The 26,017-nt window shown below is 38.1% G+C and overlaps 1 long non-coding RNA gene across 1 annotated transcript, besides 1 other annotated feature; it reads right to left on the bottom strand.

The window, feature by feature from the left end:
• Positions 3,004–3,569: an enhancer, noted in NCBI's record as "OCT4-NANOG hESC enhancer chr3:105735033-105735598 (GRCh37/hg19 assembly coordinates)". NCBI's record gives its function as "activates a minimal SCP1, AML or CMV promoter by ChIP-STARR-seq in naive H9 embryonic stem cells {active_cell/tissue: H9 hESC(naive)}" and the evidence as "EXISTENCE:reporter gene assay evidence [ECO:0000049][PMID:30033119]".
• LOC124909403 (uncharacterized) lies at positions 13,084–21,283 on the bottom strand. The gene is made up of 2 exons (XR_007095991.1): positions 21,199–21,283; positions 13,084–17,489 (listed from the first exon to the last, which is right to left on the bottom strand). It is a non-coding gene; the product is annotated as an uncharacterized LOC124909403 (long non-coding RNA).
• Positions 21,284–26,017: the final 4,734 nt, after the last annotated feature.

Raw genomic sequence — 26,017 nt, 5'->3', positions numbered from 1 at the left:
CTTTTCTTTTTTTTTTTTTTTGTGAGTCTCACTCACAAAAGTGGGTCTCACTTTGTCACCCAGGCTGGAATGCAGTGGCCTGATCAGCTTACTGCAGCCTTGATCTCCTGGGCTCAAGCAATCCTCCCACCTTAGCCGCCCAAGTATAGGACTACAGGCACACACCACCATGCCTGGCTAATTTTTTTGTATTTTTTGTAGAGACAGGGTTTCGCCATGTTGCCCAGGCTGGTCTTGAACTCCTGAGCCCAAGGGATCCGCCTGCCTCAGCCTCCCAAAGTGCTAGGATTACAGGTGTAAACCACCATGCCCATCTCAAATGAATTCTTAATCCAGGGAAGCCTTCAGAGTCTTCTCTCTTGTTCCTCCTTTGACTTATGTCTCCAACTTCCTCTATGTTACTCACTATTCCACAGGCTGTTCAGAAATCCCATGACTCTCAAAAGGTACTGTAAAACTAACTGAGTAAAAACTCATCTTTCTCTCCTCTGTTTCCACATTGTACTTGTGTCTCACTTATGCCACAGTGGGATGTGCGTGTTTCTCTATCCCAAAAGATTGACAGCAACAAGGCTCAGTCATCTCTGTGGCCCCTCATTGCCAAGGTCATGGTAAGTACCCAATAAAGTTTTGTTGAGGTGAAATCAACTGACATGAACTGAGTAGAAATATATGCCAAATTGGTAACTGAGTATTCAGAAGACTATGAGAAGGAAAACTGCAACATGCGATTAAGAGGGAATTGACACTAATGATTAAAAAAAGAGAGAGAGAGAGAGAGACTTTATACTAGACCTACGAGACCAAGCCCTATTAGGGCTGAGACTGAAATATATCTGAACGTAAAAGGGTTATAGCATAAGATGTCAAGAGTTTAATTTATAATTAACATTTACCAAGCCAGACTAAAGTCCAGACTGGCCTGGTCATGGTCTATTTGTATATTTTTTTTATTTTTAATGTTCACGCACACAGTGTGGTAGTTTTACATAGCGACCAGCTACATAAGGTTACTTTGCTGAGAGAATGGTGCAACTAAGATCCCAAACTCACAGTCTTTCAAAGAGAAATCCTTAATGTAGTAACAGAAATAAAAAATGTATCATTCAGGAAATTGTAGTGAATTCATCAGGGGAGCGTTCAGTCTGGGAGCTGTTCTTTTGCATTTTTGCTTTTGGTTGCTGATATTTTTTTAACTCTGAAAATGTCTTCTGACCTTTAATACAAACTCTTGATTCACTGTAATATGAGCTTTACCCTTTCCTAGACTTCCTGAAGAGCAGAGGTTCTAAAGACCATCAACACTAAACTTAGGTCATACGTGGAAACATCCCCAAAGCTCAGAGAAGATACCTAGAGAGATTTCTGCCTTAGTCCACTTCTCTTGCTATAACAAAATACCTTGGATTGTGCAATTTATAAACAACACAAAATTATTGCTCACAGTTCTGGAGGCTGGGAAGTCCAAGATCAACGTGCCAGCAGATTCAGTGTCTCGTGAGGGCCTGTTCCTCATAAATAGTGCCCTCTGTGTACTCACATGGTGGATGTGTTGCACATGCTCCTTCAGGCCTCTTTCATAAGGGAACTAATCCCGTTCATGACATAATCACCTCCTAAAGGCCCCACCTCTTAATACAATTGCACTGGGGATTAGGTATCAACATATGAATCTGGGGGGACACAAACACTGAGACCATAGCAGCTTCCAATCTCATTCTGCATATTGGGAAAGTACGGAACAAAATGAGACAAAACATTGCTCAGATGTGTGTTCCTCACAGGAGATCCTAGCCTATCCCAAAAGATGTTAAAAGTAAAAAAGTGATTTGAACTGGTATTTATGTACCTTTCATTGCTACAGATGTTCATCCTGATAATTTAATCAAAACATCTAGCACTTTTTATGTTGAGAGAGAAAGAGCACACATAATGGGAGAATAATGTGTTTTTCCCCAATGGAGCAAGAACTAATGGCAAGAAACAGCATATTGATTCAAATGGGAACAGGGCATGTTGTTTGGGACAACTCCACTTGGGAATAATGGACAACCAAATTATCTTAATCATTTAAACAAAATGAGCTCTTGCTTTTTCCTATAAATTTATCTCCCTTTTATCTCTAGGTTGGCTCAAGGAGAACCCCAGGATTGAAAGCCCTCGACTCCACCTCATCCAACTAGATGGATGCAAGCTCCACATCTTCCTTCCTCTGTTGTCTTGCTCTTTAAAGCCAGGAATACCCCTTATCAGCTAGTTAGCTCTATCCTTCCAGAGTTCTATTTACTGTATCCAGTGTTTTAGGGTGAGAATACTTCTGTCCTGTCTCATTTTCTAGTAGTAGATGTGTGTATCTTTTTTCCCAATAAATTATTGCCTTCATAGCAGGAAGTGTCCATACAAAACATCCGAGTTACTTTATACATAAGATCTCTGGATGTGAATAAAAATAAAAAGTTCCTGTCAGTAAAAAAAAATCCAATCTAGTTTATTACTAATTCTTCCATTTTTAAAGATTTACATATTATGAGTTCTTACATATGCCCCATCATGGTTTTTTTAGTATAATATTTATCCTCCTTCAGTACTTCTTGTGCCTGAAATCCTTCCCCTACACAGCCTCGCTTTATTACTCTTACCACTAGTGCTGCTGCTACTACTATTATTACTGCTACACTGTAATTATTACATCCTTCACCACCAGCAAGGTCACCACTACTATTACTGCTGGAACTTGTCCTTCTAGTCTCAGCTTTATCTTATGTTCCAGACAAGCTAAGTCCTCCAAATCAGATCTTTCCTTCCAGTGCTCCAGCATTGTAGGAATTGCTGATATGCTGTGGTATTGGTCTCCTTCTCCTTCTATTGATCTCATCGACTAATCATATGCCATTATATCTATCACATCAAATATATTGTATCTGGACAAGAAAAATGTTGTGGACCCTGCTCTAACTATTCACAGAGCTTTCCTTTTTCCCTTTCTTGCGTGTGTCAAAATTATTGCTATGGTTGTTTAACACTAGGCAGGGAGAAACAACAAGGGGAAACACTTAGGCAGTGTTTAAGTCACTTATGCAGTGACTAAGTTCCCCTTACATAGGGCAGTACCACAGTGCTTAGCAAAGTGTGTGGCATCCAGTGGGCGATTAATATTTATTTGTTGAATTAGTAAATAAAGTGGCCATCTCCACATTTCACAGCCACTGTAAAGACAAAGAGAATCATTTGGAGCCCATCCACCTTTTCAGGACAGTTTAAACTACAGAACCAAATAAGTAAGCCCCATGCTGATTATCTGAGGGTAGGGGATTTCAGAAAACAGCAGGGTTGCTGAAGAAAGAGAAGAAGGTAATTATAACTAAGTAGAGACTAAACAGGTATCAGAAAGCATTAAAATGAACCCACTGATTAAGAACACTGAGTGTCTTGCTTAGCTTGTCATAATAGGTGGGGGAGTCGAACTGCTGATGTATGGGAAAGGAAGAGGGGAGTTTTGTTTTTCTTTTTGAGAGAGTCTCACTCGGTTGCCCAGACTGGTGTGCAGTGGCACGATCTCGGCTCACTGCAACCTCTGCCTCCTAGGTTTAAGCGATTCTCCTGCCTCAGCCTCCCAAGTAGCTGGGGATTTTTTTTTTTAACAAAGGAAACCAGAAGGGACACAAGAAACATGCATTAAGTTTTTCAGTACCTCCGTGAAGTTCTGCCTAATTATTTTAAAGACAGGTGTATTGCCATATAATTTACATATAGCAAAAACTCCCCCTTTATTGCATACAGCTCTATGATTTTTGACAAGCACAAAGAGGTGTAACTATCACACAGTCAAGATAGAGAACAGCCAGGCCCAGTGGCTTATGCCTGTAATTTCAACACTTTGGGAAGCCAAGGCACGAGGATCACTCCAGGAGTTTGAGATCAAGATAGAGAACATTTCCATTGCCTCCAAAATTTTCCTCATTCCCTTTTGTCAGTCTCCTTCCTCTATCGGCAGTGATCTGCTTTCTGTCACTACTGCTTTTATTTCTCCAGAAGGTGATGTAAACGGAATCAAACCATATCTAAACTTTTAAGCCTGGTTTACTTCACTTAGCATAATGCATTTGAGGTTCATACATGTTTTTGCATTTATCAGTAGTTCATGTCTTTATTTTATTTTGTGGAGTAGTATTTCACTGTGTCAATATACAAAATTTATCTGTTCAGCAATTGACAGACATGTGGGTTATTTTCATTTTTGGGACTACTATGATCAAAGCTACTATAAACATTTGCGCCCAGGATTTTTAGTAGACACATGTTTCCATCTGTCTTGGGTAAATACCTAGTAGTACAATTGCTGGGTCACAGGATAAGTACATGTTTCACTTTATAAGAAACTGCCATTCGATTTTCCAAAATTCTGCCTTAGTTTTATTTTCTCAAATTTCTGGCATTCTATCTTCAAGGGTAACTGTTGGCAAGGCTAAGGTTTGCAGATGGTATATGACAGTTGTAAGGAAAAAATAGGATGCACATATTTGATGGGAAGGAAAACACAGATGACACATGTTTTCTGATCAGAAGGTACTGGGTATCTTCTGATCTGTCCTTACATTCTATACTTTGAAGACACAAGTCAGGATGATATCCAGGCGGGACAATGCTGCCTGTCAGCTACCATCTGCAAATACCCATTTCCCATTTCCCCACTCCTGGCTCTATACTCAGGCAGCACTTCCTTGTCACACACACACAGCCTACCGCTATACACCATCCTGGCTCTGGGTTCCATCAAAGGAATGGAGGGTGTAATTCTAAAAATGTAATTTATGCCCCCCAAAAAAGTAATTATGCCTCTTTGACAGTATTAACAATGTTCCCAGAGGTTCAGGAAGAAAGGAAAAGAAAAAAGGAAAGAAGAAAAAATCTTGCTCATATTACATTATTATTTTTAGCTGGCACATTTCCTAAATCTAGCTGGAACTGAAAAAGCATGTGCCAAATGCAATTTTGAAAAGTGTTCATGTTTGTGGGTGTCTCGGCACTGCCTGAAACCAGGAAGTAGCAAAAGTCTTAAAATGTAAATGAGTTCCCTTTTGAGCTTTCCAAACCAGTTTTACAGTATTATTTTGCCAAACATTATTGCTACCCAAAGCTCTAACCCCAAGTCTCCTGAGATACAATTTCAAGCAGGATGGACTTACATGAAATCAAAGATCCAGTGAAGATTGGGATGGGGAATGGAGAATGTGTCTCTGCTTCTGATTGCTGATACTGTCAAAACTTTGTATGAAATGTATAAGGCAAATGCCTTCAGGAGGAAGGGAAAAGAATTTAAGGGACAGATGAACCTTGTCCCTAGAGATCTTGAAGCCCTAAACTGGTTTACCAATCTTGTGTGACTTGAAAGAGTAAATTATCTCCTATCCATGTGTCATTTTTGAAATTGGCGTAGGTTAGATGGGGCCCACATAACTTGGTGATGATAGAGCCCTTTAAAATAACTTTTTCACGTAGTGAAAATATCCCTTTTGAGGAGTAACTCTTCAGACACACAGATTGGGAGTCACATGTTAGTCACCACCCATGACCTACCATTTATGACTTGTAGACACAGCTGTTTGTGAGTGATCTTGGATGAGCTGTTTTAACAGGAGAAGTTGAGCAAGTAACTTACAGGCTTATTGCTCATTAATTCCTTCCTCAAACTATGTCAGAGATACAAAAGGCTGTCCAGAATTTAATAATTGTAGAATAGTGCTTACAGACCTTATGAAAAAGGGATAAGCACAGAGAAATGAAGCCATTTACAGTCTGTCAAAGAACAGAGTGAATTTCAAAAACAACCCTATGTTTCATTAAAACTTTATTTATTCAAGTTTAATGTACTTTGAAATGAATTTGCATTTTTAAGGAACAGAATGTATTTTTATCTTCATCAAGGACATACCACCCCAGAAAGTTCACTTATATGCTGTGACAATGTCAAGTGGGTTCTATCCGAAATTTGGCATGCTATTAAATTCTTGTTCCATAAAATCCTCAGCATAGCATCTTACCTTTATAATGTAACGTGGCTTTTGATCAAAGACTTTTTAAAATACATCTTGCACTTCAAGCTCATTTATTCTGAATATACCCATTCTTAACTCTTATCAAATAAATCCATGTAATACATTTCCTGAAAGTGCACAGAGTGAGAGAGATAAGAAATTAATTTCTTTGCTTCTGAAATGATCCTAAACGCTCAATTATCTGTCATGTCAAAAGTTGGGCTTACAAACTTATAATTCCAGTTTTTTTGACAAGGAACTTACATCTTTTGTTTAAACCACATAGCATTATTTTAGAATATTTTCTGTTTTATTATTATAGAGTAACAACATGTTAGACACTTGAGAAAATTTAAATATTATTTAATTCAGTGGTCTGCAAACTTTGGCCTGTGGGCCAATCACCTGTTTTTGTAAATAAAGTTTTATTGGAGCCCAGATCATCTCTCATTCATTTAAGCAGTGTTTATGGTTGCGTTCATGCTGTGGTGACTGAGTAGAGACATAGCAAAGGAAACCTCATGGCCTACAAGCTTAAAACACTTACTGTTTGGCCCTTTAATAAAAAGTTGCCAGTCGATCAGTTAGTGTATCTCCTACGTTTTACAAAAAGGAAAAAACACAAAATATTTAACATTTTCCATTACTATTTGAGACAATACCAGGAAAACAGATCATCATATTATGAAATCTTATAATGCCTAAATATATGTTGGTTTGCTTTACATTAATATATATGTAAAAAAATCATACCCCTTGCATTAACATGGGGCTAAACTAGTGTATTCCCTAAGAAAACAGCATTGTCCCTATGGTCTGTGTCAGAGACTGGATATAAAATTCTCAAGGAAACTACAGCTGTATAGTAGTTAGTGAATTTAAACACTATTTGTAAATCAAACTATTGATCAGGAAACAGTGAAGGACTTTAAAACAAACTAGTCATATGCAATGAAAAATCATGTCTCCCCCCTTGTTGTAAAGATTGCAATAAAGCAGAACGAAATAAGTCAACAACTCTCCTTGTAAGGCCTCTCCTTTTTTCAGTCTAGTAATGACGAAAAAGACAAACTGGACATTTGGAAGAGCAAGTGGAATGTACCTCAGATAAATTGTAAGCTGGCAGCTTTCTCACAGAGAGACTGGACCCATACTTTAAGAAAGCCTACAAAAGCATTTGACTTCAAGGTACCCTGAAACCAAGATGTATAGGCACTGTCTTTAACTTAAGGACACCTGAAAAGGACTTTTAATGCCAGCTCAACCTGTGGTAAAATCATACTGTACTGTCCATGAATGGCACCCATTGAGTTGTGCCGCACAAAATTCATGTGAACATATATGACAGCACTATTTCTGAAATACTGGCACTCTCACTTTAACTATAACCCAAAATTTTACAATAGGGACTAATAGAGGTTTACAAAATAAAAGTAATTACACACACGAAAGTATAGTTGGCATTACTGAACAATCATTATGGGCCCTTAAACACGTGTTTCAGTTCACTGACATTGAGTTGGTATAGAATGACCTCACTATTTTCATCATGGTTACCACAATTCTGTCCAGCACCAATCTCAAAATTTTCTCTTGCATAATACAAAATATATATCTAACTCCAAGTTATGTTTATACTTTAAACAAAGGCAGTTAGCATCATTAATTTTTTATAATCTTGAATTTTTTTCTTTTTAGAATTTTACTGAGGTATAATTTGCATACAATAAAACATACCTATTTTCAATATACTGCTCGATGAGTTTTGATAAACGTGTATACCTCTGTGATAACCATCACAGTCAAGTTACAGAAGATTTCTGTCCCCTCAGAAAGCTCCCTCTTTTGCAATTACTACTCCACATCCCCAGAAAATAATGGGTCTGCTCTCAGTCATCGTAGATTAGCTCTGCCTGTTCTAGAAACTCACATAAATGAAACAAAACTGTATGTACTTTTTGTATTCACCTTCTTTCACTTAGCATATTCTTTTGAGATCCATCCATGTTGCTGTATGTATTAGTATATCATTTTCTTTTATTGCTGATGTTATTTATTTAAATGGACATACCACAATTTGTTTACCCATTCGCCTGTTGATGGACATTTGGTTGCTTCTTATTTGGGGCTATTATGAGTAACGCAGCTATGAACATTCATGTAAAGTCTTTTTGAGAACATATGCTTTCATTTCTTTCTGGTAAATAACAAAGAGTAGAATTTTAGTTTTAAGTATTCGTCTGAAGTTTTTGATGCTTATTCTACTTTTTTTTCTGCCAGGGAACTCTGTTCCTTATCCTTCACATCCATGTTCCAATTTGTATTAATACTTATTGAGATAAAATAGGATGAAATGTGATGTATATACAACTATATGGTCAAAATTTATAAAAGTGAGAAAGTATTTCTAAAATATCTGTTCTTTGTTGGTACATATCTACCAAATAGCTTTGCTAACAACCTCAGAACAAAATACAAACCTAGGAGACTCTGATTTACATGAATTCTTCTTTCACATGAACTCTCTTTTATTTAGGAAGGATTGCAGAACAAAAATGAAACTCAGGGGGTTGTGCAAATTCTGAAAAGAAAAGGTCTGCCCCAAGTGTAAAAGAAGTGAAACGCTCTAAGTGTTCTGGAAGCTTTATGACACATTTTCTTGACCTATATGGTGTGAAACCTTACTTATCATTCTCGGCAGGAAAAAGAGATAATATAAGAAAGAGATTTGTGGGAAGATAACATTTAAATCTCTACTATCAAGATGACATGAACTTAAAGGTCTAGAGGATGCCCTAGTTGAGCATAAGTACTTCTAGAAAACCAAAATGATCCCTTAAACTTGGGACACATTATAAGTCAACAATAAAATAATGTACGTGGGAATCATCAACAAGTGAGTTGATGTTAAGAATGTTACAAATTACAAAGAATATGTTAAGAATGTTACAAATTACAAGGAAAATGAGATTTTACCTTACTTGCAAGCTAACAATCCTGCCAGAGTTTCTGGGTTCTGGCAGAAGACATGAGACTCCTGGGTAACATGAAGGGTGGTATTATTCTCAGCAATATCAGTAGCCAGAGTATCAGCATTGTTCTATCTTCCTGAGCTTCAGTTCCCATAGAGAAATGTGAAGAAAACCAGGTGACATCAAGCAGTGGGTTGTATTATAGGAGAAGGATTCTGAGCTTAAGGAATACAAATATTTCATACTGGGTAGTAAGCCTCCCTGACATTTGCCTTTAAAGGAAATGGTACCTTTATTGCATCAGACAATAAACAAACCTTTCTTTTGCATGAGAGATAGAGCCCCATCCACTGGAGTTGGCCATAATTTCTATGCTGCATCTTTCCTATCATTAACACTTTTTAACACCTTAAAGTCTGTTGAATTATAGGACCCAAGCAGTATGCTGATTGCACTCATTGTACTCTAGACCTACTCTGGGCCCTACTCAAAGCTAATAGCTTTCCATGTCACTGGATATTTGGGCTGAAGTAGTATTTCTGGGTGTAGAATGGGCTGCCTCCAGAACCCAAGGAAGCCTACAAGACTATTTTGTGGTAGAGGAGGGAAGATGCAGCAATTGTCTTTTCCTTTGGAAAAATGTTCTAGCATAGCCCTGATCACTAGACCCTTTAAACCTTCATTGAATCTGTATAGGATTTATCTCCCACTGTCTGAAGTGTCTAACTAAGTTTGTCAGCACACAAGCCACCTCTCATTTGCCCTGTTCAGTCACCAATGCAACACAGTAGTTCTCGAAAACAATCCTGTATCCCAGGGTGAGGATGGGGTTTGTAGCAGAGATTGATATAGCCTTTAAAAAGGAAAGGAAGCAAGAATAGTGGTCCCTGTCACATCTTCATTTAATTTGCCAGCCTGGCCTTTGTAGAAAATAAATGGATCCTGGGAAATGACTGTAGATTACCTCGTACATAACCATGAAGTAGCCATGTTCACAACTGTGCCTTCCACACTATGAGAGATTTACCCGAGGGACCAGGGACCTAATGTGGTTGCTAGTCCAACTGCCAGGTATACCAGTTCCATTTATACACTCAAGAACTAGAGAAATGACTATAATGGGCCTGCTGGGAGCTGAACTTGGGCCAGTGCTCTATTTATTACCTGGCTCCCATAGCCCGACTCTAGAAGGGGAACAGCAATGATTTTTAAATCTGTAGAAATCATTGTTAACCCAGAACTTGTATTCCATAACTCTTCCCAAATTAGACATACACCTGAATAAATGGCTACAGGTCCCTCTGGGGAAGGACTGGGGAGTCATGCTGGTACATGGTTGCCATGGTGTTGAGGGTCCTTCCTCCCAGAGACAAAGCCATCTCAACAGTCAATGAATTCTGGATATGAAAACTGGATCAGGTTTGGGAAGAAAACAAAGGATTATGAGCTTTTATTGAGGAGACCACCCTTAGCCCCATTCTCCACTGTTCTTGATTTTTGCTCTGTTTTGATATTTTAGTTATTATTCCTGTTAAGCAACACCCTACACATACACAGATTACAATTTAGGCAAAAGCTCTAAGTGATTCCCATGCAGATTTCTGGAGTTTCTTTTCTCAACATAGCTTTCTCCTACCTCCTACTTTGTTCTGCAAATTCAAGTTGCCTCTGTCTTCCCTATCTCCAGTCTCGGTCTCCTCAACTCAACAGGCACAGTATGCTATGCTTGAGATCTGAAAAGAGGCTTCAGACAGAAGTTCACTTTGTATGCTTCTTTTTTTGCAGCAACTACAGATTTGTGTTTCCTGCTGTTCATTGTCTGATAACAGATGTCTCATATATTTTGTCCAGTATTCTAGATGTTTATGATGAGAGGTTAAGTTAAATTCCAGCTGTTCTGTGCCTGGAAGTAGAAAGTCCTTTCTTTAAACATTGACTTTTTAACCATAATAGTCAATTGATTTTTCAATTTAAATAATTTTAAAAGCTAACATTCCTTCAATGGGTTCATGACAGGAATATTATAATAAGTATTTTTCAAATTGTTTATGGTAATTCTCTACCCTAAGTCACTTGCTCTACCTTCTCTAATTCTTCATTCAATTCAGAGCTATACAAAGAGCTTACATTTACAAACTTCGTGGGGTTAAAATTACCTGAATAGATTATAATGTCTCTCCTCAAGTTGCTTTTTTCTTTCAACAATGTTTGTTTAATGAAGTTTGATTGAGTCAACTCTATTCCAGACACAATACTTGGCATTGCCATTAGACTCTGGGATCTTTCCAATACATTCTGATACTCAAACGATTTTCTAACCCTGTCATTCTTAGCCTGCCTCTATTTCCCACATCTCTTTTAACAGTCTATAGTTCTTTTCCTTTGTTCTAATCGGTTATGTTGGACAAAATTCAAGTTTTTGCCTCCTAAAGAATTAAGCTCCACCATGAATTGCAGTGCATTTTGCTGATACACTGAAATTCTCATCCATTCTTTCTTCTAAGCTGTCTTTTCTGAGTTTGAGGCCAACTTCCCACCTTCGCTGTCCTTTGGAAAGACACAGTAGAGAACAGGTTGCATTTGATGCCTGGCTCTTGGGAGAATGTGGGTATAATACTTAAACTTTCTGGGTGTCTGTTTTTCTATAAAAATGATGATACTAGTATCTACTTCAGAAGATTATTGTGAAGATTGAGTTTACAGACAGAAAGCACTTAGAAGAGTATCCGATCTTGCATACAGAAAACACTCAATAAATATTAACTACTATTATTATTTCTTAGAATCTTGAACACCAGGCTTCAAATTTGTGTTAATTTTCACACTGCTATAAAGAAATACCTGAGACTGGGTAATTTATAATGGAAAGAGGTTTAACTGATTCACAGTTCCACACAGCTGGGGAGGCCACGGAAACTTACAATCATGGCAGAAGGTGAAGGGGAAGCAGGCACCTTCTTCACATAGTGGCAGGAGAGAGACGTGCAAGCAGGGGAAATGCCAGACGCTTATAAAACCCTCAGATCTCATGAGAACTCACTCACTATCATGAGAACAGCATGGGGGAAACCACCCCCATGATCTAATCACCTCTCACCAGGTTTCTGCATTAACACTTGAGGATTATAGTTCAAGATGAGATTTGGGTGAAGACACAAAGCTAAACTACATCACTATTATATGGAATTCTGATCACCATGATTCTACATTACTATCTGCTATGCCTTAGTCATAAGTTTAGATACTCTAAGTTTCACCCAATTTGGAAATAAATTTTATACTTGGGCCCTTCTTAAACTTTTGGCCCAGACCCTTATGGCCCTTTTCAAAGTGAATATCTGTAGTTGGATTGCTTTACCCTGTCCTTGACCCCTCCATTTTCAGCTTACTCTGTACTAGTTTCTAACCATATGTCTCTAAGGGACTGGTATCATCTCCCTCATGAGACAATCCAACAGTAGTAATAATGTCCACAAGGCCACCGTGAAGCCAGCCTTTGGATTCTGAAGTGGCAGCTAAGCTCCCGAAGTCCCAGCTGTGGTTATATGCATTTTTAAAAAAGAATAGAGAATAGGAGGTAACAGGCAAAGCAAGTAAAGACTTGTGTATTTAGCCCTAAAAGGGAAAAAAAATAAGCAAATAATTCATCTTGGTCATAGCATGTGCTGAAAAAATGTGGTACAACATGCAATAGAAGTTTCCATAAACTACACTGTAATTATACAATCTGTACCTTAAGCTTGTTTGAGAATCACATGGATTTAGAGCATAACTATGGCTAAAATTTAAAGTCCACGTACACAAATAAGTAAAATAAATCAGTCTTATTTTATTAATAAAATGAATGTTTATACCCAAGTATAAAGCACTGACTTCTGCCTCAGCTGGAGGAATTATAAGTCAGTAATGCATCTTATAAATCAAGTGCATGAACCATTCATCATCTTCTGAGATTCTAAGTCAGTTGTGTTCACAAAGCAGTTGCATGACTTGGAAACAACTCCTGGGATGAATAAATCAGTCACTTCCAGATATATGAATAAGTGACATGACCCATAAATCACATGACTACATACTCGTGCTTCATCAATCAGAAACTTTTATTTATAATTGAAAATTTGAAAATACTTATTGTGAACAATTTACTAAACACCCATCCCAAATTCCCATAGTACTGTAAGATGAAATGCATAGATGAAATTCCACAAGACTACCCCGACTCCAGGTGTCAGTCATAAGTAGCAGGTTCCTGGTTATTCACAACTTCTGTCCAACCTAGTTACATATCAGGGTTCCCACAAAGCCCTTCTCTGTTTCATAATTTGCTAGAGCAGTTCACAGAACTCAGAAAAGCACTTTACTTACTATTATCCTTTTATTATAAAAGGAACAGTCAGATGGAAGAGGCAACTCAGGAACAGTCAGAAGGAAGAATGTATTGGGCAATATATGTGGGGAGAGGCTGGGAATTTACACACTCTGTTGGACCATGCCACCCTCCACGTGTTCAGGAATCAGAAATCTCTCCACCCTCTGTTCTTTCGGGTTATTGTGGAGGCGTCATTACATAAGCATGATGGATTAAATCATTGGCCATTGGCCATCGGTGATTGACTCAACTTTCAGCCTCTCTCCTGACCCTGAAAGTCCAGGAATTGGGTTAAAATTCCTAAACCTCTAATCACAGGATTGGTTCCCCTGGCAACCAACTCTCAGTCTGAGGTTACCCAGGAGCCCCAGCCTTTCGTTATCTTATTAGCATACAAAAATTATATAACAATATCACAGTCCCATATGGAAAATATAGGCAAGTACAACTAACTAATCCACAAACATACCTTTTAGACAGTGTCTTTGGAGATATATGAATATAAATGTATCAACTATTGGAAATTATTTCTTTGAGAGAATGTTTTTGAAACTAGGTAAAGTAATGTAATTGTAATGCAAAGTAAATGTTAACCTAAATAATCATGTTCATAGGATACACTAATGTTCCAATTAGTGTATCTGAATTTTATTAACATAATCATGTTTTATGTTTGCATAGTCTTTTATACATTTATTCTTACAGTTTTGTTGGTGGTTATCACCATTTAATAGACGAAGAAAATATCTAAGATAATTAAAATCCAAAATTACATTGCAATTCAGCACAACTAGAATTTAGGTTTTCTGTGTTCTATTTCTGTATTCTTTGTTTCACCATGTTTCCTTTCATACATTTTACTGCCACTAAAAGGGTATGGATAATTTTTCATCTTTTTATAAATGTATAAAATTTACTGATTAAGACTTAAAGTTTATTCATTAAGCTTAAAGTTTACTAATTTAGGCTTATGTATACAGGCCTAGAGGTGTCACCAACACTCTGAAGCACTTACCAACTCCTAGTTTTTAGTGTTGTAATAATCATAAAATATTTATTCATACATCATTTTACATCTGATATGAGCTGAAGCTTGGATTTTGCATTTGGGATGACAAATGGCTCATTTCTGGATAGATTCCCTATAAGTCATTACAAGTTCTATGACTTTTGTCATTGAACAAAAACCACTATTGAGTGATGGAATTTCATACACCTTTAACTGTAATTCACCTGACTGCATAATCGCAAATTACTGATAATGTAAAATCTATCCAAATGTGTCCACACATATTAGCTGATGATCAGGCCGCTCCACAAGGAATGTCAGGCCACTCACTGTGCTTATTTCTGTGGCTTAATGTGGGTGAAAGTTCAAATAATTCCAGTTCTCATTATCAAACGGATAGCTTATATAAAGTCAATTCAGAGTTTAGCAAGGGATACTGATTTTCTGACCTCATAAAGAGTACAATATTCAGTGTATACCATAAGAAATACTAATTAAAAGTCATTTTTATTTATTGGCTTGGGCATTACTTTGACTTTCACCATTCCATTTTCATTTCAGATTTTTTTCATTGGAACTGTTGTTTTAATCGGCTTACAGATTGTGTTTTGGCAACTCTTTCCTTCTCATATCAGTTATCATTTGGGAAAGAAAAAGTGAAAACTGTACTACAGAATTCGCAGTATTAACTTCAAAGCATGGCATTTAGAGTTAGATTCTTTTTGAGTTGCTGCTTGGTAATTTGCTAAAAATAATAACGATTCCTCCCTCATATCTCTGGAAGGGCTTTATTACACACTCATTAAATTGTGCTTAGGTAGCATAATTATATAGAGTTCAGCATATTTCAGTTTATCAACAGAGTGAGTCACTTGGGAACTGTATAGACAATGTGGGATAGGGCAAGATTGCTGGGAAGACAGAATTTACTTCTATTTCCAGTTTAGGTGGTGGGTTGTTTTTGGTTTCGTTTTTGTTTTTTATCTTGGGCATGTCACTGATTCCTCTGGTCTGTTTCTCTGTCTTTGAATTGATAATTTGATTTCCCCCTTCGTGGTTCTTAAGAATATTGTGAGCAAGCATTAATGAAGCGGATGCACTCTGAGTTCCTCAGATAAGACTACGTAAGTCCAAAACCTTATGACTGAGTCATGTGAGGGTTTAGGCTTCAAGATTCCATTTGGTGTACATATTTAAAGGAAAATAACCTATTTTAGCAGTTGGGAATCTACTGCTTTTAAGATCTCTTGGGTAAGTTATAACATTTACTTCAAACCTATCCCATGTATAGCTTTTCATTTCTCTTTTAAATCCCTATTGTTCTTTTCTTGGTAGAGAAAGCATACATCTCATCTTTATCTTTGACAAACTTATTCAGTAAATGCAATTCCCCAATATGTTGATCACAATTATAGAATTTCTATGAAATTCTTAGATTTGATAAAGTTTCTAGAGAACTTTAGCTCAAGCTAAAATGTGTATGATCATTGTGCTATGCACATAACAAATCCTTGATAAGTAACAGTTAAGTCTGGATTAAGTTGAGGACTTTTTTAAACAATAATTTTATTAGGAAGTTATTATTAATGAAGTTATATTTTGGTAAAATGCCACTAGTCCACCTGATTTATGATATCTAGGCATTCCAGCATCTATGACAGGATTTTATTTCATAAGACTCCATCTCCACCCCTACAACCCAGGAGGCAGACTATAAAATAATCATCATTTTCCACCTCATCCTGTCCATCTGGATGTCAGATGGAAGCAAAGAGATCCATAACCCTTTGAAATAAGTGAGGTGGCCTGGGTAGCATTTCTTAATGCAACCTATGAAACCAGGTTTTAATATCCACATCTTTGAACTATTACTAAGTGGATACTGGAGGCCACATTTTCCTCCACAGTCACTCTATTACCACATCTTCTAATTCATTATTCTTTAAGTACTTCAAGATAGTTATAATAGAATTAAATTTTATGTAATGCTCTTCATCATCCAACAAAGTACATTGCCGAATCATCTTTAAGCCTTCGACCTTTTCCCGATGAAAACACTTCCCTTGCCTGTACTTTCACTCTGAATCGTCAGCCTATGTCAACCTTTGCTCTCAATCTGAATTTTTATTCTTGGAATGCCTGCCCAAGACAAAGGAAGAAAAGGAAAATGAAGAAAATGGTAAAACAAAATGGAACATTAAGCAAAGGCAGCATAGCTCCAAGAAAATCCTTAGAAGAATATAAAGCAATTTGTCAGTTCTTAAAATTAAAAGCTAACTATCAAATATCATCCCAGAATATTAATGTCTTGAGAAAAGCTTGACATAACTCCTGGATAGGTATTTTGGAGTCAGCAACATAGTTTCAGTCCTCCGTACTCCAAATTCATCACAGGATTTCACTTCTTGATTATTTATGGTTGTTTTGGACCATGTAACTAGTCTGGCAAATGAGGTGTGAGTAAAACTGAAGTATGTCACTTCTGGGCTATAGTGAGACTCTCCAGAGCAGTCTTTTCCCTCTGCTAGAAAAGGCAATACTCATTATGTTGGCTGTCCAATTAGCCAGTATACCTGAGAATGCATGATAAGTACCTGGCAATGTGCAATTGTTAAGGAACACGGGTAAGAAATCAACCTTTATTCTTTTAAGGCACTGAGATTTGAAGTTGTGTTTTATGGCAGCATAACCCACACTATTCTGACATTACAGATACTCACCTTTGTTAAGAATAATAAAAGGAAAGTTCTCAGCAAGTACTTTTTAATGCTTTGAGAAACTTTCAATTTGCATTTACTCTAGTTCTTAGAACTTTATCTGACATAAAATAAACAGATGGCTTAGACTCATACAATAATGCTCATTAAATTTGTGGGGATAATATGAATTATTCTCATGTAGTTATTTATTGAATATTTTATGGTATTCAATAGATTTATTCAGTAGCTTCATCTATTTTCAGAACATAAGTCAGTTTTAGCTTAAAAATTTCTACTTACATAATGAAATGGGTTCACTTATTCCCAGGTGGCTGATTTGTCTCATGTAATATGATGTTACACAAGGGTTCACCATTCTTCCCTGTTAATGACTTATTTGGCACACTACAATGTAAGAAGCCAGGCAAAAACTTCAGTGAGGAGAAATCTTGAGTCTCCACCATTATCCCCACTTTGTTTATGAGCTCAATGGTCACGAACTGGGAGAGTTGAAGAAAGAAACAGACATCCACAGCGTGATCATGTGATCTACCTGACTAAGAGTCTGCTCAGAAGAGGATATCATTAGATGACCATTTACACGAAAAGCAAATAATCTCTCATTCCGGCATTATTTCAAGAGATCCATTCATGAGTCTTCTCCCAAAATCTTTTTGTCACCAAGATTATAACTGACTCTGAGTTCCTGTCCATGTGGCCTAAGAAATTCCCTGTTCATAAATTATGATAGACCTGTATTTCTGACAATTTCTCCAGTTGCAAAGTCTTCCACTTTGACCTTTCTAACATAGATAAATTTTTATCCTTTCTGTTAATACAGATCAAGTAGGGAATTAATGAAGTGTTCATCTATTTCAGTTCTAGAAATGTAATGATCAATTAGTTATTGCCAAAAATAACTGCAGATCAAAGTACTTCTATTACCACTTTGGCTCTGCTGCCTGTTAGAGTAACTATTATAATCTTCTCCCTTTTCATTAAGTGCTGCTACTTTGCCTCTGTTACGAAGGGATTCTATAACCCCATTGAAATCAGACAGTCTGTTTCAGTGTCATTATTTCTCTTCTTTATCCTTGGTCTACAGAGAACAGGCACTACAGGGTTTCTACTAACGTATTTATCTATACTAATTTATTTATCAGTTCTGTGGGGAAGGGACTATAAACTAGGACCTTTCAGAAACAGAACTACAGGGTGACTGAGTCGATTGCCTCTCAGAGATAATTTACTTCAGCCATCCTATTTCCCCAAGTTTCTACATTATACTAAGGAAATTCTGACATCTCTATTTCTTTTCTTTTTTTAATAAATTTTTTAATAATTTCAGCTTTGATTTTAGAATCAGGGAGTACATATACAGATTTGTTACATGGACATATTGTGTGATGCTGAGGTCTGGGGTACAAATGATCCCACCCAAGGACTGATCATAGTACCCAGTAGTTTACTTTTCAATCTGTGACCCTTCCTTCCCTCCCTCCTCTAGTAGTTTCCAGTGTCTACTGTTGCCATCTTTATGTCCATGAGTGCCCAATGTTTAGCTCCCACTTGTAAATAAGAACTTGCAGTATTTGGTTTTCTCTTCCTGCATTAATTTTGTTTAGATGATGACCTCCAACCACATCCACGATGCTATAAAGGACTTGATTTTGTTCTTTTTTATGGTTGTCTAGTATTCCATGTTATATATGTACCCCATTTTCTTTATCCAATCCACTGTTGATAGAGACCTATGTGTATTCCATGTCTTTGCTATTGTGACAAGTGCTACAATGAACAGACGAGTGCACTGGTATCTCAGTTTCATTCATCGTAGGCCAATACGGAGCCGAAGTTTTAATCAATCCACTGAGAAAACATTTAGCAGCACTCTTATTTTCTCAAACTAGAACTCTAAATCAAGAATTTTGAGTTAAATAAGCTCTAGCTGTATACGCCCATATTAACAATAACAAGCAAAAAGCCTATCCAAATATGATATCCTTCCCATCATTGTCTATAATCTCAGAGGCCATTTTCATAAATTCTCCAGATTTTTTCTTGCTATATTAGCAAAATGTTGTAATTATTTTTGGTATGGAACCTGGTTTATTTTGTAAATGACTCCCTAGGTTATATTGAAACCTGACATAATTTATAGGCCTTGAGGTAAAAAATGGAAGTAGACATATTGAAATGAGAAGAATTTGAATTCTCTTGCAAGATAATTGTTTCAAGTGAGGAATTTACTGGATGCAAAAAAACTAGACACATGAGTGAGAAGGAGAGGTTTCTTCTGCTGGCATAGGAGGTAGATTGACAGGAGATTCAGGGAATTCATATTTGTCCAATTAACCAAAACCATTGATTAACTTTCCAGATCCTTCTCATTTTCAAGAAGTAAATTAATTTTTACTCAAGAGAAGTAATGTAGTTATGAATGTGATCTGCAGTATAATTCAACTACCCTGGTACAGTAAGTGTGATGAATGTGGGGACTGATTCCAAAAAAAAAAAAAAAAAAAAAAAAAGACAATGAGGTGACAGTAGCACACTGTGAGCTTAAGATAAGCATTATCTGGGCAACACTTTAACAGGTTTTGGGGTAGAGAGAAAGACCTCAGAGCATAAGAATATCCAAGAGATACAGCACAGGGACCACTGTTCATAGTGAGACAAGGGCAAGAGAACTCCCAGGAGAAAGAGAGAGATCAGATAGGAGGCTTGTGTTTTAGGCAATGTTCAGCAGTCCTACAGTAAATCTCTGGGGAGTCCAACACTTCCAAAGGTTAGAATTGGAGTCTTTTATATCTATAGAGTTTATCTTATCTCTGCCTAGTAAGTGTTTGGTACATTTTCATCGAATATGGAAAGCCAAGAGGCTCTAAATGGCTAAAACTCTGCACATTGGGGGTATGTTTAAAACAACTGGATATATATGAGTTAGAGTTTAGTGGTGTCAAACTTTTGAGTTAACAGACTTCAGCCTGTTATAAAGAAGTAAACAACATATGGCCAATATACAGAGGCCATCTTGGGCTCCTTTATATAAAACCTAGAAATCAGAAATTTAGACTTCTGAATTCGGACTTCTTCAACTCTGCTGATATAAGAGATAAGACATCATCTTAAGGCAATCATAGAAATATCTGGGTTCCCTGGTCATATTTTGATGCATTCAAAGCTCTGCAGTACAGTCTGAAGTAGCCATTCCACCCACACAGTCTTTTTATGCTTGAACTACCGTTAATGGACTATCACAGCAGTCACTCAGTTTAGACAGCTTTGTCTTTAATAGGACTTCATTCTAGCATTATCACAAGACATAATTTAAATGTTTTACCACTGGTTGTCATGGAAACAAATCCTATCTGTTAATGATAATTAGACCTTGCCACATAGTCAACCAAATATTAAGATTTCTTTGAATATTGATTACCGGCAACCACTTGATGAAGCAATTATTGTGTAACTCAAATTTCACCTGTAGGTAGACAACAGAATTCTGCTAAAGTCTGAATGTTTGTGTCCCCTAAAATTTATATGTTGAAGTCATACCCCCAAGTTGATGGTATTAACAGGTAGGGCCTTTCAGAGGTAATTTGGTCATGATGATGGATGGTGCTCTCATTAATGGGGTTAGTGCCCTTATAAAGAGATTTTTAAAATCTCATTTGTCACTTCCACCATGTGAGGATGCCATGAGAAGGCACCTTCTGTGAACCAAAAAGTGGGCTCTCACCACATCCTGAATTAGCTAACACCTTGATCTTGGACTTCTCAGCCTCCGTAAATGTTAGAAATAAATTTCTGTTATTTATAAGCTAACCAGTTTCTGTTTTTTGTTTGCTTGTTTGTTGTTGTTGTTGTTGTTGTTGTTGTTGTTATAGCACCAGAAATGAACTACTAAAAATTCATTCTAGTTAGTTCAAGCAGATAAGAGCTAACAGAGGAAAATAGATGAATAAGAAATTGTAGGAGAGGGCAAAGCAAGATAGCCACATAGAACACTTGACCTATCTATCATCCCTCCCACAGGAACACCAATTTAACAACTATCTACACAAAAAAGCACCTTCATAAGAACCAAAGATCAAGTGAGCAATCACAGTACCTTGTTTTAACTTCATATCAGTGAAGGAGGCACTGAGGAGGGCAGGAAAGACAGTCTTGAATTACAGATGGCACACTTCCTCTATGCCCTGGCAGTGACCACATGGTATATAGACAGAATCTGTGTCCTTGGGGGAGGGACAGCACAGCAACTCTGGGACTTTGCATTCAACTAAGTGCTGCCCTGTCACAGCAGAAAGCAAAACCCAGCTAAAATCAGCTGACACCCACCCATGGAGGAAGCATCTAGACCAGCCCTAGCCAGAGGGTCAGAACTCGAGTTTTGGCAAGTCTTGCCATCACAGGCTGAAGTGCTTTGGGGTCCTCAATAAATTTGAAAAGAAATCTTACAATTCCTAGGCAAGTCCGAGTGCTGTGCTGAACGCAGAGCTGGTGGACATGAAACACCAGCCAGGGCAGCTAAGAAAGTGCTTGCATCACCCCTCCTACAACTCCAGACAGCACAAATTGCAGCAACAAAAGTGACTCATTCTTTTGGCTTGAGAAGAGGAGAGGGAAGAATAAAAAGGACTTTGTCTTGCATCTTTGATACCATCTCAACCAGAGTAGGAAAGAGCACTGGGCATAGTTGTAGGGCCCTGATTACAGGCCATAGCTCCCAGATGACACATCTAGACATACCCTGGGCCAGAAGGGAACCCATTGCCTTGAAGGGAAAAACCCAGTCCTGGCAGGATTCACCACCTGCTGACTAAGGAGCCCTTGAGCTCTGAAGAACCAGAAGTAATACCCAAGTACTATGCCGTAGGCCTTGGGTGAGACTCAGATGTGCTGGCTTCAGGTACCAGCTTGGCCTCAGTGGGGTAAAGCACCAAGTGGGTTCCTGGGGTCCCTGATTTCAGGCCTTGGCTCTTGGACAGCATTTCTGGACATGCCCTGGGCCAGAGGGGAGCCCATTGCCATGAACAGTGAGTCCCAGGCCTGGCAGCATTCACCACCAGCTGACTGAAGAGCCCTTAGGCCTTAAAGGAACATCAGCAGTAGACTGGCAGTAACCCCAATGGATCTGTGGTGGTGGTGGACTGGAGAGAGGCCCCTCAGACTGTGGAAAGGGCTGTATCTTGTGGTTTAAGAGGCAGCTCAACCACAGTACAATAGAACACCAGGTAGAATTCTAAAGTTTTTTTTGCTCTAGTCCCTAGCTCCTGGATATCATCTCTGGACCTACCTGGGGCCTAAGGCAACTCACCACCCTAAAGGGAAGAAAACAAGCACGACTGTCCTTACCACCTGCTGACTGAAGAACCCTAGGGCCTTGAGCAAACGTAAGTGGTAGCCAAGTAGTGGTTACACCAGACCATGGGCAACACCCAGTGCTGTGCTGGCTTCAGGTCTGACCCAGTCTCAGTGGTGGTAGACACAGGGTGTAAGTGTCACCGCAACCCCAGCTACATGCAGCTCAGTACAGAAAGAGAGACTCCATTTGCTTGGGAGAAATTAAGGGTAAAAAAACAAGAGTCTCTCTCTGGTAATCCAGAGAAATGTTTTGGATCTCATCCAAGAACACCAAGGTGCTATGTCTACGAGCCTGCAAGAACCACAGCATTACTGGGCTTGGGGTGGTAACCAATGCAGATATAACTCAGATCACAACAACCAAGTCCCTTTGAATAGCAAGAATGCCTTCCTGAGAAGGAGAAGTACAGACAAGCCCAGACTGAAAAGACTACCTTAATTCCCAGAAACGAACAAATATCTATAAGCATCAAGACCGTCCAACAAATCATGACCTCACCACACAGAATAAATAAGGTGCCAGGGACCATTTCTGGAGAAACAGAGATATGTACTCTTTCAGACGGAGAACTCAAAAATAGCTGTTTTGAGGAAACTCAAAGAAATTCAAGATAACACAGGGAAGGAATTTAGAATTCTGTCAGATATATTTAATGAGGAGATTGAAATAATTAAAAAGAATCAAGCAGAAATTCTAGAGTTGAAAATGCAATTGACATACTGAAGAATGCCTCAGAGTGTCTAATTGGCAAAACTGTTGAAGCAGAAGAATTAGAGCTTAAAGACAGGCTATTTGAAAACACAGTCAAAGGAGACAATAGAAAAAAGAACAAAAAGAATGAAGCCCGTCCACAGTATCTATATTTAGTCTCAAATGGGCAAATCTATGAGTTATTGGCCTTAGAGAAGAGGTATAGAAAGAGACAAGGGTAGAAAGTTTATTCAAAGTGAAAGTAACAGAGACCTTCCCAAACCTATGGAAAGATATCAATATTCAAGCACAAGAAGGTTATAGAACACCAAGAAGATTTAACCCAAAGAAGACTACTTCAAGGCGTTTAATAATCAAAACCCAAGGGACCCTTTGTCAGATGAGTAGGTTGCGAAAATTTTCTCCCATTTTGTAGGTTGCCTGTTCACTCTGATGGTAGTTTCTTTTGCTGTGCAGAAGCTCTTTAGTTTAATTAGATCCCATTTGTCAATTTTGGCTTTTGTTGCCCTTGCTTTTGGTGTTTTAGACATGAAGTCCTTGCCCATGCCTATGTCCTGAATGGTAATGCCTAGGTTTTCTTCTAGGGTTTTTATGGTTTTAGGTCTAACGTTTAAGTCTTTAATCCATCTTGAATTGATTTTTGTATAAGGTGTAAGGAAGGGATCCAGTTTCAGCTTTCTACATATGGCTAGCCAGTTTTCCCAGCACCATTTATTAAATAAGGAATCCTTTCCCCATTGCTTGTTTTTCTCAGGTTTGTCAAAGATCAGATAGTTGTAGATATGTGGTGTTATTTCTGAGGGCTCTGTTCTGTTCCATTGATCTATAGCTCTGTTTTGGTACCAGTACCATGCTGTTTTGGTTACTGTAGCCTTGTAGTATAGTTTGAAGTCAGGTAGCATGATGCCTCTGGCTTTGTTCTTTTGGCTTAAAATTGACTTGGCGATGCGGGCTCTTTTTTGGTTCCATATGAACTTTAAAGTAGTTTTTTCCAATTCTGTGAAGAAAGGCATTGGTAGCTTGATGGGGATGGCATTGAATCTGTAAATTACCTTGGGCAGTATGGCCATTTTCACGATATTGATTCTTCCTACCCATGAGCATGGAATATTCTTCCATTTGTTTGTATCCTCTTTTATTTCATTGAGCAGTGGTTTGTAGTTCTCCTTGAAGAGGTCCTTCACATCCCTTGTAAGTTGGATTCCTAGGTATTTTATTCTCTTTGAAGCAATTGTGAATGGGAGTTCAGTCATGATTTGGCTCTCTGTTTGTCTGTTGTTGGTGTATAAGAATGCTTATGATTTTTGTACATTGATTTTGTATCCTGAGACTTTGCTGAAGTTGCTTATCAGCTTAAGGAGATTTTGGGCTGAGACAATGGGGTTTTCTAGATATACAATCATGTCATCTGCAAACAGGGACAATTTGACTTCCTCTTTTCCCAATTGAATACCCTTTATTTCCTTCTCCAGCCTAATTACCCTGGCCAGAACTTCCAACACTATGTTGAATAGGAGTGGTGAGAGAGGTCATCCCTGTCTTGTGCCAGTTTTCAAAGGGAATGCTTCCAGTTTTTGCCCATTCAGTATGATATTGGCTGTGGGTTTGTCATAGATAGCTCTTACTATTTTGAAATATGTCCCATCAATACCTAATTTATTGAGAGTTTTTAGCATGAAGGCGTTGTTGAATTTTGTCAAAGGTCTTTTCTGCATCTATTGAGATAATCATGTGGTTTTTGTCTTTGGTTCTGTTTATATGCTGGATTACATTTATTGATTTGCGTATATTGAACCAGCCTTGCATCCCAGGGATGAAGCCCACTTGATCATGGTGGATAAGCTTTTTGATGTGCTGCTGGATTCGGTTTGCCAGTATTTTATTGAGGATTTTTGCATCAATGTTCATCAAGGATATTGGTCTAAAATTCTCTTTTTTGGTTGTGTCTCTGCCCGGCTCTGGTATCAGGATGATGCTGGCTTCATAAAATGAGTTAGGGAGGATTCCCTCTTTTTCTATTGATTGGAATAGTTTCAGAAGGAATGGTACCAGTTCCTCCTTGTACCTCTGGTAGAATTCAGCTGTGAACTCAAACAAATTTACAAGAAAATAACAAACAACCCCATCAAAAAGTGGGCAAAGGACACGAACAGACACTTCTCAAAAGAAGACATTTATGCAGCCAAAAAACACATGAAAAAACGCTCACCATCACTGGCCATCAGAGAAATGCAAATCAAAACCACAATGAGATACCATCTCACACCAGTTAGAATGGGGATCATTAAAAAGTCAGGAAACAACAAGTGCTGGAGAGGATGTGGAGAAATAGGAACACTTTTACACTGTTGGTGGGACTGTAAACTAGTTCAACCATTGTGGAAGTCAGTGTGGCGATTCCTCAGGGATCTAGAACTAGAAATACCATTTGACCCAGCCATCCCATTACTGGGTATATACCCAAAGGACTATAAATCATGCTGCTTTAAAGACACATGCGCACATATGTTTACTGCGGCATTATTCACAATAGCAAAGACTTGGAACCAACCCAAATGTCCAACAATGATAGACTGGATTAAGAAAATGTGGCACATATACACCATGGAATACTATGCAGCCATAAAAAATGATGAGTTCATGTCCTTTGTAGGGACATGGATGAAATTGGAAATCATCATTCTCAGTAAACTATCGCAGGAACAGAAAACCAAACACCGCATATTCTCACTCATAGGTGGGAATTGAACAATGAGAACACATGGACACAGGAAGGGGAACATCACACTCTGGGGACTGTTGTGGGGTGGGGGGAGTGGGGAGGGATAGCATTGGGAGATATACCTAATGC

The sequence above is a fragment of the Homo sapiens genome, chromosome 3 (genome assembly GCF_000001405.40).
Source record: "Homo sapiens chromosome 3, GRCh38.p14 Primary Assembly".
NCBI lineage: Eukaryota > Metazoa > Chordata > Mammalia > Primates > Hominidae > Homo > Homo sapiens.
Note: the sequence above shows the minus strand (reverse complement) of the source record. Positions and strands in the feature narration are given on the sequence as shown.